Source organism: Homo sapiens, chromosome 1 (assembly GCF_000001405.40).
Source record: "Homo sapiens chromosome 1, GRCh38.p14 Primary Assembly".
Taxonomy (NCBI): Eukaryota; Metazoa; Chordata; class Mammalia; order Primates; family Hominidae; genus Homo; species Homo sapiens.
The window spans coordinates 35,415,189-35,428,120 of record NC_000001.11 but is presented as its reverse complement, the minus strand read 5'-3'; the positions used below and the strand labels follow the sequence as shown (position 1 = coordinate 35,428,120).

Below are 12,932 nucleotides of genomic sequence, written 5' to 3'. Positions count from 1 at the left end.
GAAGTGATGGTGAGCAAATACGCTGGCAAAGTTTGTAGTCTGAAACAGGACTAACAAAAAGGAAAAAAAACCTGTAAGTATATAATAAAATAATTTACATAGTAAGTAAGAGTGGGCAAGACCAAAGGAACATAAAAGTCTAACAAAGTCTTACTAGGAGAAGATTTAGATGGTAAGTTAAAGAAACCAACAGGGGTAAACAAACATGATTAGTATTAAGAGTAATATGTTGGTCTGAGTGTTGTGGGTTATTGTTAAGCTGATTTACCATTGTCTCCCCCCACAACCACGCTTGACTAGCTTTGCATTTTGGCCTGGCGCAGTGGCTCAGGCTTGTAATCCCAGCACTTTGAAAGGATGAGGCAGGTGGGTCACGATGTCAGGAGTTTGAGACCAGTGTGACCAATATGGTGAAACCCCGTCTCTACTAAAAATACAAAAATTATCCGGGCATGGTGGCATGCGCCTGTAGTCCCAGCTACTTGGCAGGCTGAGGCAAGAGAATCGTTTGAACCCGGGAGGCGGAGGTTGCAGTGAGCTGAGACCGCACCATTGCACTCCAGCCTGGTGGACAGAGCGAGACTCTTGTCTCAAATTAAAAAAAAAGTAATATCAATAAAAGTAGAAAGTATTACTTTCTTAAACAAGTAGAAGAAAATTTGTTACTCAGTGGGAAGCAAGGGGATAAACCGAAAAGTTCAGTAAACAGAAATTGTGAAAAAAAAAAAAAACCCACAAAACTAAACAGCAGAAATAAGTTCTATTAGCCGTAATTAAGTTTAAGGTGTTTACATATGAACTTAACACCAGACTCTGGCCTCTTCCTTCCAGTCTCCACTGCCCTCCCTGCATGGAGACAGTGGCCTCTGAGGAGGTGAAGGCCTCCTCAAACCATGGACACATGTGCACGTGGTGAGGGGGTCTCCTGGTAAGGCAGCCACCACCTAGCAGCAGGGTAAGAGGGGCAGTGGGTGGCTGGAATGGTTGGGAGGTTAATTACACTGTGCAAACAAGTTCCTCATTGAGAAAATAAGTACATATACTGAGGATAATGGGAGCCAGGTTTCACACTTTTTGAGAAAGGATTATGAATGTGGAAAGGGAGAGAAGGCTGCAAAGAATCCTGAGGTGTTGAACTGAAATTGGAAAAACTGGAATCAACTCACAGGTTTAAAGAAACAAACTACATACACACACACACATGGATATAGATGTGTATAGTTATATGAATATGTGGTTATTGATTGGTTGCTCTACCCACTGAGAGGGCATAGAAGCAATTTTACCTTAGTAGCAGTGAGCACGCCAAGTGCTAAGGTCTTATGGCTCTATAGAGAGATGACTGATTCCAAAAGAGTACCACAAAATCCTGGAATATCTTAAGAAATGCTGAAAAACGGACAGGAACATGTCAGAAGGACATAAAAGCCAGCTAGAAGGGGCTTCCGTTGGTCAAATATATGACAATTTGAGTATCAAAATAAATGAGCATCAGAATACAACCTACTGAATAAGATAGGAACCTAAGAGTCTATAATGACATATATAAATGAATAAAAAATAACAAAGACTCTCAATATAAACATTTTTAAACAATCTAACAATTATAGGACAAAAAAGATGGGGGAAAAACAGGCAAATATTAACCAAGAGAAACTGGGGGAGCAATATTTACAGTATCTGATAAAACAATTCAATGCAAAAAGGAAAAAAGGTGGGATACACAGATAAGAAAGAACAATGAAACAAACAATGTAAATAGGAGGAGTATTAGTATCCCTCAAACACAGCCTGAAAACTGACAAGGCTGCTAGCAGGCAAGGGAGGGTGGACAAACACTTGGGTTAAAAAGGGAAATGGGAAACACTTTTAGGCTGATGACCGCATCATTGTGCCTGAATCGGGAAACACACCTAAAGCAGTACTGAGAGGAAAAAGTTGTAGATTTTAAATCATTTTCAGGAAACAAGAAAGATTAACAATGAATGAAGCAATCATTCAATCATTTAAAGAATGAACAACTGGAAAAAAAAAACAAGAAAAGAGAAGGAAAGTATTAATAAAATTAGAAATACATGAAATAAGACTCAGCCAAATGCTGGTTCTTTGAAAAGGTTAAGAATGACCGGGAAAATGAGAAGATGCAAACACAATACAAAATTTAAAAAGGAAATAATTATGAACTATATGTTATAAACCTGAACATATAGATGAAAATGAGGAAGTTAAAATGCAAATTGGCAAGACATTAAAAACTTGAGTAGACCAATGGGCATTAAGTAAATAAAAATGGCAAAGACCTCCCCTTAGGGGACAAAACAAAACACCAGAATCAAGAGATAAATAAAATTTAAGATTTCATTTGTGTGAAACACACACACACACACACACACACACACACACACACGAATTAGGTTGGCTAGCTAATAGTTTTGTTTTTTTTTTTCTTTGAGACAGAGTCTCGCTCTGTCTCCCAGGCTGGAGTGCAGTGGCACAATCTCGCCTCACTGCAAGCTCCACCTCCTGGGTTCACACCATTCTCCTGCCTCAGCCTCCCCGAGTAGCTGGGACTACAGGCGCCTGCCACCACGCCCAGCTAATTTTTGTATTTTTAGTTAAGATGGAGTTTCACCATGTTGGTCAGGCTGGTCTCAAACTCTTGACCTCGTGATCCGCCTGCCTCGGTCTCCCAATGTGCTGGGATTACAGGTGTGAGCCACCGTGGCCGGCCAAACTTATTTAAGAGTTTGTTGGCGGGGTGTGGTGGCTCGCGCCTGTAATCCCAGCACTTTGGGAGGCTGAGGCAGGAGGATTACCTGAGGTCAGGAGTTTGAGACCAGCCTGGCCGACATGGTTAAACCCGCCTCTACTAAACATACAAAATTAGCCAGGCGTGGTGGCACATGCCTGTAGTCCCAGCTACTTGAAAGGCTGAGGCAGGAGAATCGCTTGAACCTGAGAGATGGAGGTTGCAGTGAGCGGAGATCGCGCCGCTGCACTCCAGCCTGGGCAACAAGAGCGAAACTCCATCTCAAAACAAAACAAAAAAACAAAAACAAAACACAACAACAACAAATGTGTTTTCTCACCTTGCAATATTGATAACCTTTTTTGTTGTGATGAGAAGTTCCAGTTCCGTTTAGTGGTAATGTGACAGTGGGCATTACCGGTGTATTCGTTAGGATACTGGTTTGGCTACTTTAATGAAGAGGAAAAAAAAAGGCTTTAAATAAGATGAAAGTTCCTCTCTTATGTGAAGGTCTGAGCTAGTAGGCAGACCAGGAGAGACAGGTGGCTCTGTCCATGAGGTTAATGTACTTCTGGTATGCTGCCCTTTCCCACATGGACAAAACTGGTTTGCCATGACCACGTTCATGCTCCAGATCAGAGGAAAAAGGGAAGACAAGAGAGGAGCATGCATTTTCCTTTTAGGAGTGTAGCCTGGGAGATGTAAACTCACATCTGCTTCCATGCCATTGGTCAAAACTTCGTCCCATGGTCACTCCTAACTACAAGTTAGCCTGGAAAATACACTTTTTTACCAAGGGAGCCACTGCCTAGCTAAAACTTTTGGGGAAGGAGCAGTTCTGTTAATGAAGTGAAGCGTGGGGAGATTGCTGTTGTACCGTTGTCTTGTTCCTAAACTGATGACATATATAACCTACCAAGTAAAAGAAGTTTCATAGATTTAAGGTTTTTCTCCCAATTAAAAAATAAATTTATGACCTGGCATTCATATGCAAAGAAATATAAATAGGCCAGATGTAGTGGCTCATGCCTGTAATCCCAGCACTTTGGGAGGCCAAGGCAGGCAGCAGATCACCTGAGGTCAGGAGTTCGAGACCAGCCTGCCCAACATAGTGAAACCCCATCAAATACAAAAATTAGCCAGGCATGGTGGCGTGCACCTGTAGTCCCAGCTACTCAGGAGGCTGAGGCAGGAGAATCACTTGAACCCAGGAGGCAGAGGTTGCAGTGAACCAAGATCGAGCCACTGCACTCCAGCCTAGGCAACAGAGCGAGACTCCATCTCAAAGAAAAAAAGAAATATTAGCCAGGCGTGGTGGTTCACACCTGTAATCCCAACACTTGGGAGGCTGAGGTGGGCAGATCACTTGAGGTCAGGAGTTTGAGAACAGCCTGGCCAACATGGCAAAACCCCGTCTCTACTAAAAATACAAAAATTAGCCAGGTGTGGTGGCATACACCTGTAATCCCAGCTACTTAGGAGGCTGAGGCAGAAGAATCACTAGAACCCAGGAGGCGGAAGTTGTAGTGAGCCAAGATCGCACCGCTGCACTCCAGCCTGAGCAACAGTGAGACTGTGTCTCAAAACAAACAAAAAGAAATATAAAGAAAAAAACTAATAAACTCTATCATATGCTGTTCCTATATATACTGATATACATGCCCATTTCTTTCTTTTTTCTTTTTTTTTGAGACAGTCTTACTCTGTTGCCCTGGCTGGACAGTGTAGTGGCCTGATCTCGGCTCACTGCAACCTCCGCCTCCCAGGTTCAGGTGATTTTCCTGCATCAGCCTCTGAAGCAGCTGGGATTATAGGCACCTGCCACCACGCCCAGCTAATTTTTGTACTTTTAGTAGAGATGGGGTTTCACCATGTTGGCCAGGCTGGTCTCGAGCTCCTGACCTCAAGTGATCTGTCCATCTTGGCCTCCCGAAGTGCTGGGATCACAGGCACGAGCCATCGTGCCCAGCCCCATTTTTCAATATAGTGAAAATATCAATGGATTCTTGTGATGTTGATTACTATTGATATGCACATAAGCACAAGTGAAGAATTTGTAATTTTGTTTGATTCAAATATGTAGAATTGGTTATATAAATAGAGTATTATGTTTTGCAGAAGCCAAAGTGCTATACTTAGTAAAAATTCAGACTGTAGTGTGGGAATTAACATTTATTTAATGTGTTAGTACAGGCCAGGAAATTTGCATGTAATAAAAAATATCTGACATTTGAAAGCCTACCATGTGCCAGGCACAACTTAATAAGGGAGTTATACCCACTTTATAGATAACAAAACTGAGGCACAGAGAGGTTAATTTTTATTTACTTATTTTTTTATTTATTTTTTTGAGACGGAGTCTCGCTCTGTTGCCCAGGCTGGAGTGCAGTGGCACGATCTCGGCTCACTGTAAGCTCCGCCTCCCGGGTTCACGCCATTCTCCTGCCTCAGCCTCCCGAGTAGCTGGGACTACAGGCGCCCGCCACCACGCCCGGCTAACTTTTGTATTTTTAGTAGAGACAGGGTTTCACCATGTTAGCTAGGATGGTCTCGATCTCCTGACCTCATGATCCTCCTGCCTCGACCTCCCAAAGTGCTGGGATTACAAGTGTGAGCCACCGTGCCTGGCCTGAGGTTAAGTAATTTACCTAAAGTTATACAACCAGTAAGTAGAAACACTAGGCTTCGACGCCTATGATCTCTCCACTACATAGCATTGCCTCTCAATCACTATTCTCTTCAATGATGATAGCACAGTGTAACAGACAAGTGCTAGTCTAGAGGAGTTCAGGGTATGATTGCTTCTTTCCTAAAACTTCAACTCAATACCCTAGGAGACTTCTTTGGAAAATTAAATTCTGAATTCATTAATAGAAATTCATTTTACATTAGATCTTTTGGGAAAACCTGTTTTATAAATTTAGGATTGCCACAAGGCAGGTAGGTAGAAAGTCGATACGGAATTTGAAAGTACAGCTGCATAATACCAAGACAACTCTGAAGTCGAAGGAAAATGCTATTTAGTCTTACATTCCTGTTTTAAACATGTATTTATACTTAAGAATGAACATATCCTTTATTCTAGTCTTACAATTTCATTAAAGTTGAACTGATGTAGGCTTTGTAAATCTCAAAAAAGTTTGCCTGAAATGATATGTATAAATGATCTCTGATATTTCTACCTGTTGGGACTTTGAATATAGTCAGTAAATTAGCTAAAAATGGGAACAAGTCTTTTGATGGAAAAAAGGAAATAAAAGAACTTGCAATGAAAAAATATGTTGACTGGACTACATAAAAAAAATTTCTTTCTCGGAAACTGCTCTCTTTCTTTGTAATTTTACTAATTGCTGGGTCATACCAATAAGGTCAATCAGAAAAAGAGATTTCAAATTCTTTTAAGACGTAAAGAAGAAGAACTCACCCATCAAATACAAATATACTATTTTATTCTAAGGGAATATTTCTGTGGTTTCTGTAAGGGGAAAACCTAAAAGTGGTTAAAAACTGAAAAAGAACAAAAAGGATGATTTAGATGTTTTTGTTTGATGTTTTTTTCTCCCCTGGAAAAAAAATGTAATTTTACACAATTTTCATAAAATTAAAAAAGCAATAATCAGACGCACACATCAACAGCTACACTTATGAGGAATGACCAATAATTAATCAATATTTTCTCTTATGAATAAATTTAGGGTTCTGGGCAACTCTGTGGACTAACATGCAAATGAAATCCTGATACAGTCATTTATCTGGGTATTGGGTGTTCTCAGTAAAAGATACAGATTTTTTTTTCTGGTATTTCATAACAATTTATCTACTATGCTAACAATATTTGTTTTTTCATACAACTACAGAAGGGGAAAATGTTAGTGTTTATACAAACCATAAAATTCGTATAGTGGGGACTATTACACTTGCTATTTCTGGATAGTTTATTGGCAGACTTATCAGACAATCCAATTATTTGTCCTCCATATCGAACAAGGTATGGAGTAAGAAGTTTTCCAGTCAGAAATGACAAACACAGATGGAATTAATCATACAGAATCGGGGTGGATTTACTTCTTTCATACAGTTCTTGGTAACAAAAATGAGATTTGTTACAGGCAGAGGGACAGAACCACCAAGTACACAATGTCAGAAGGCCTACTTTTTTCATTTTAGTTTTACTTAAATGCCTTTTATTTGTTAAAAAAGAAATACACCTGCCACCCCCACCTAAAAAATGAGATACCCTGAAAAGTCTTTCAAGATTAAAATTTCTAAGAGGCTTTTTGACATCTCTCAGTTTTATCATAGCGTCAAATTAACCTTAGCTGAAGAAGTTCTGCAATTGGCAAACGTCATAAAAGCTTTGATTCCAAATTTTGTGGGGAAGAAACTGAGAATGGAGATGAGGGAGATGGACTGATATGCCACACACACCTATGACTTGCAATCCTCATAGAACTACTGAAACAGCTAGAGTTTGGAATAATGCTCTAAGACCTGCTTATGGATATGCAAGACAATGTCTTTGTATCCTCACCCCAGAATCCCTATTTTCAAGTTTCAAGGGCAACAAGGTCATCTTCCAAATGCTTTATATAGGAACCTAACTAGGACCTTTTCTATCATAATTCAGATAGCTAAGTAATACTGTATCTTTGTGGAATCACTCACAGGTTTGCCAGAGTAAGAAAAGAGACTATCCTTTTTGAAATGACAAGGGCCTCCAGAAACTGGTGCAAAAGACAAAATAAGAGGAACTGTTTGGGAAATAGGAAGGTAAAACAACGGGAGAAAAGCTGCCATTGGGGAAAAAAAATGAAAATAAAAGGAGAACCCCCATTTCTCTGTACCACAGCTCAGGCTGTGAGACAGCTGCAATAAGGGCCCACACCCAGAGAAGGGGCATTTTAGTGGGTTTCTACAAACATTTCAAGACACTTGGGGTCTGATAGGCTCCACAGATTTTCTGTGTGCATAATTAGTTTGTGGAATATCATCCCCTTTACCTTAGTTTACCCACATCCAGACCCACCGCTGAGAAGGCTTGATCCAGAAAATGAAAGGGACACATTACTGTTAACAGCAGTGAAGGTCATTTTCCCTGATGTGAGGGGCCCATGGCAAAAGCTTCTGTCCTTCACATGATTGGCTTGGCAGTGAAAATCAAAATCAATCAAGACCACTTCACTATCTTTTTTAAAAAGTTGAGTATTTTTATTGGGTCTTCAAATCTGGGTCCCACAGTCCTCATTTGATGTCACTCTTAGCTCTGTACTGATCTCTCCTCTGACTTTTACGGAGGGCTTGCCAAAGTAGCCTATTGCAGCCAAAGTTTCACTCCAAAGCTACCTCTCTAAGGTCTAAGGTTACTATGGTAAAGTTTTATACAACAGTTTTCCTTAAAAATATTCCACGATTTGTTACTCCCAAACAAAATAAGATTATGCACCACTCGGAGAAATTAGTCATTCTGAAGATGTCTAAGAACTATATCACTGCCAAAGAACATTTCTCAGTTCATATTCTTTCCTTCAATTTTCATTTGCACATCCACACTGTGGGGTTCACAAGTCATCTGTTTTCCATGATCTTATGGTCAAGTCAAGAGGACTTAGACTTATACATCATTTTCCAACAGCTGGATGCATTCACAGTTTGGTGCATACCAATATGTATGAAAATAAGAACCTCACTTCCGTTTTAATCTGATAATTCAACATCAGAGTCTTCAGATTTGGCTTTGGCAAGTTCTTCATGTACCTCCCTCACCATGAGAATACGTGTTAACATGGTGTCCAGGGTTCCAGGGTCTATCGGGAATGTGGAGTACCACATGGGGCTATTCGGGACACAGGAGCGCTCAGGTTGAAGGTAAAACACATCATTCCTTTGCTTCACACTTTCAGAACTATCCACAGGGGAAAAAAAAAAAGAGAAAAAAGAAAATTAGAAATCAGAGAGTATAGGAAATATGTACTATTCTTAAGTAAACTGAGGTTTTTGCCATTAAAAGTAATTAAAAGTAAGGGCAAAAACTGCAATTATTTTTGCACCAACCTAATATGGCTCTCAACCTTTCTCCACTGTGACTCACAATGGGGAAAGCAAGGTACCCACAGAGATAAATAGTTTACAGGAATATTTCCTCCCAGGAATCAACTGAAATCACAATGGATTGGAAGTGAGTATAAAGTTAATATAAGACAAAGTGTAAATCATAAACTTTAGTACTTCAAACATTATTAAGAGCAACAAAAAAGTCAACTCACATGTGACACTATGGCCAAGCACCACATATTGGAAGTGCCCAATATCCTGGAATGAACTCCAAGGGCACTCAATACACATTATCAAAGGGCAAATGAAGCTATTACATTTCTTTCAGAAAAAAAAGTGTTACAACTCTAAAATCATAAAGTTCCTCTAAGAAAAGGACTACTTAGAAAATTTCAATTCCTTAAAAATTGTTTTTCTATTATAGCTTTAGCAAAACAAAATTTCTTTTCTATACAAATAACAAAATAACTACAGATTAGGTATCACATAAAGGTTGTACAACAGTTGTAAAGATCAAACAATAGCAGTGATTCTTGCTTTTGAAGACATTTTCATAAAATAATTATGAAGACAAGGTAATTTGTTTTGTGGTTCAAAATCCACATAGATATGACAATGGGGAAAAAATTCATGGTAAATCCTTGTCTAAAGCCACGGGCAAGCTACTTTTCTGATGTTCAAGCATCTGAAATCCAAAATATGTTAACTGCCTTCTGAGTGCACTACATTCAGTTCAGAGAAAGATTACCATTTTGACAGGTAAAACTCATAAAGTCGGACTGGGCATCTTAGTGGATTGTCAGTATTCTCTGCCATCTCCACCCCCACTGGAACCTCATCATCTTCATTTCGTTTCCTCTTGCCAACAGTCAGTTTATCTTGAGACAGGAAATAATAATCAAAGGATTATATTAGAAAAGTCTATTCTTTGAGTCTCAAGACACCAATGAGCTTTGCTTCGCAGCCAGAACTTTGTCATTTCCTCCCTTTCACTCACTCACACTCATTCAACAAATACTGAGTGCCTATGAAGGTGCCAGACATTATTTTAAGTGCTGGATTCTATGGCATTAAACAAAGTCCCTATCCCATGAATTTTATGCTCCCCTGCTCACCAAAGTGGGGGCACCATGACAAAAAGTATGGCACTGGCACTGGAAAACGTCTCTATTCTGAGCCTGACTTTATTAATAAACTTCATTAGGCACAGGGTTCCTGAGACATATCAAGATAAAGCAGAAAGAAGGGTTCCACATGTTTTTCTCCTACAGTAGAGATCAAGACAGAAGTTGCCATCTCTTTTTTTTTTTTTGAGACGGAACTTTGCTCTTCTTGCCCAGGACGGAGTGCAACGGCGAAATCTCCGCTCACTGCAGCCTCCACCCAGGTTCAAGGATTCTCCTGCCTCAGCCTCCCAAGTAGCTGGGATTACAGGCGCCTGCCACCATGCCCAGCTAATTTTTTTGTATTTTTAGTAGAGACAGGTTTTCACCATGTTGGCCAGTCTGGTCTCGAACTCCTGACCTCAGGTGATCAGCCCACCTCGGCCTCCCAAAGTGCTGGGATTACAGGCATGAACCACCGTGCCCGGTCGCCATCTCTCTTTTAAGAGACAGGGTCTCACTCTGTTGCCCAGCCTGGAGCATGATGGTGTGATCACAGCAGCCTTGAATCTCCGCAGCCTTGAACTCCTGGGTTCAAGTGATCCTCTTGCCACAGCCTTTGGAGTAGCTGGGACTACAGGTACAAGCCACTGAACTCAGCAGAAGCTGTCATCTCTATGAGAATATTTCTACTGTGGGGCACTAGTACTGGGCATCTGCTCAAGTTTATTTGTTCGAATATTGTGAGAAATGGCATCTTTGTTGGGAAGAGAAATTATCAGCAGAGTTACTATTTGGTAAGAAAAGAACAAACCATTTTTCCCCAACAGTATTTTGCAGAGGCCAAGCATTATATAAGGAAGTCAGGGTGAAGATACGGAAAGTGGGCTATTTCTTTCCCACTTTTTCCATTCACTCCTCAAGAGAACACTAGATGGACCTAAGGAAAAAAGGTTTTCTTTCTTTTTTTTTTTTTTTTGGGAGACAGGGTCTCACTCTGTTGCCCAGGCTAGAGTGCAGTGACTCCATCACAGCTCACTACAGCCTCAAACTCCTGGGGTCAAGCAATCCTCCCGCATGAGCCTCCCAAAATATTGGGATTACAAGCATGAGCCATTGCACTCAGCCTATATCTGCTCTTAACAACCGGTATAGGACTTTCCCCAGCTTCCTGCATTATTACTTTAACAAAACTCACCCATTTTCCATTTAGCAGCTAGCTAAATAGAAAGACTTTGCTAGTTACTCACTTAGAAAGCAAGCTGAATTCACTACTAATCATGTCAAGCACCCAATCAGCAAACAGGGAAACATTATCCACCTGCCTTTCCCTCCCCCAGTTAATACCAACTGAGGCCAGGCATGGTGGCTCACGCCTGTAATCCCAGCACTTTGAGAGGCCGAGGCGGGTGGATCACCTGAGGTCAGGAGTTCGAGACCAGCTTGCCCAATATGGTGAAACCCCGTCTCTATTAAAAATACAAAAATTAGCCAGGCGTGGTAGCACATGCCTGTAGTCCCAGCTACTTGGGAGGCTGAGGCAGGAGAATTGCTTGAACCTGGGAGGCGAAGTCTGCAGTGAGCTGAGATCACACCACTGCACTCCAACCTGGGTGACAGAGTGAGACTTCATCTCAAAATAAATAAATAAATAAATAAAAATCAATTGAGAGCACAAAGTGGGTTACATATATATAAAACTAAGCAAACAGGACACAGACATTAGGTGAAAAAGATAATCTTAGTAAATGAACAATTCAGAAAAAAGTTTATACAAAGTTGAACATCACAAATACAGATTTTAGTTTCAGTGATTTAAATTCTCACATTCAAAAAATGTATTTCACTCTCAGAAACTGATTTTGGGAAGTTCAGGACTTATGATTCTATTCAAAAAATAATAAATTTAATTTCTAATCCTATAATACCAAGATTAAGTTTCTGAACATTAAAAACAAACTTATTTAATAGGCTGTTTTTGAAATGCAAGACAATAAACCTTCTAATAAAATTGTCACTGCTATTATTCTATTGTGTACAAAAGCAGTATATTGTAGGTCAGCTTTTAAGTTCCTTCAGAATTTCACAATGTTAACTAAAAAGAGGGGCTCTGGTCAAAAAAAGATTTAGAAACAATGGACTAAAAGTTCTGCAGGTTTCGTTTAACTAGTGATTGACTCATCTGGGGCTAGTAAATTAGTGATTCTCAACCCTGTTTGTATTTTTTAATTTCCTGAGAAGTTTTAAAATGCAGGCTATTTGAGCTCTGCCCAATTAAATCAAAATTTCTAATTTAAAAGCCAATGAAAGTATATTGAAGCACGTGATTCCTCTCACTTTGAGGCCAGCCTTTGACCACTCTCTGACAATAGAGAAAAATATTCAAATGTTAAAGGTACACTCTTTCACGTCTAGCATTTATAATTACCTTTCTGCAGTAACTCTCTATTTTAGTACTACTACTAAGACTTCAAAGAGAAATCTGACAAACAGTATCCCGTACCTGGTTCTGACTCCTGCTTCTGTAAAGGTGGGAAGAACCTCAGATATGTCATCTTGGTACTGTACTTCAGAGTCCTGGTCCGTCTCATCACATGGGCAAAGGAAAGCTTCAAGTGCTCAGTAACATTCTTTAGTTGGAAGTATTTGGTATTGAAGAAAAGGAGGGTGTTTAAAAGGACGATTGGTGAGTAAGCGCCCAGCTGTTTGCACTCCCACAAATGCTCTTCCTCAATGCGAGAGAACATGTAACCTAGACAGAAGAAGGGGTACAAGAAACAGTACTGAGCTCCTGCTAAAGTAGACTAAGTAATCTCTCAAATTCTAAGACAGGGAGATATAAAGAGAAAAACTGACTATTCCTCTTTCCCCTCTTCCTTATGCAGAAAACCAGAAAACGCACCACAAAGAAAAAGGCAGATGATTCCACTCAAGTAGACACCGTTCGTGGAGTCTCCTGAAACCGTTTTAATCTATTGATATTTTAGATTAGGGGTTAAGCTGTCTTTATAAAGGGCCAGAAAGTAAAT

The 12,932-nt window shown here is 40.1% G+C and overlaps 1 protein-coding gene and 1 pseudogene across 16 annotated transcripts in view; one reads left to right on the top strand and one right to left on the bottom strand.

Annotated features, from left to right (window-relative positions):
• On the top strand, window positions 229-311 carry RNY5P1 (RNY5 pseudogene 1; annotated as a pseudogene).
• ZMYM4 (zinc finger MYM-type containing 4) overlaps window positions 6,063-12,932 on the bottom strand; it is a 153,350-nt gene continuing 146,480 nt past the window's right edge. For 15 of the 16 annotated variants that reach the window (XM_017002803.2, XM_024450838.2, XM_047434271.1 and 12 more), the window contains 3 exons: window positions 12,407-12,655; window positions 9,549-9,678; window positions 6,063-8,651 (listed from right to left, as the gene is read on the bottom strand). In XM_017002803.2, coding sequence (XP_016858292.1) covers window positions 8,444-8,651; window positions 9,549-9,678; window positions 12,407-12,655 — 587 coding nt within the window. In that variant the 3' untranslated portion in view covers window positions 6,063-8,443. The remainder of the gene's footprint in view (window positions 8,652-9,548; window positions 9,679-12,406; window positions 12,656-12,932) is intronic. The other variant, NM_001375653.1, reaches the window with a different exon arrangement.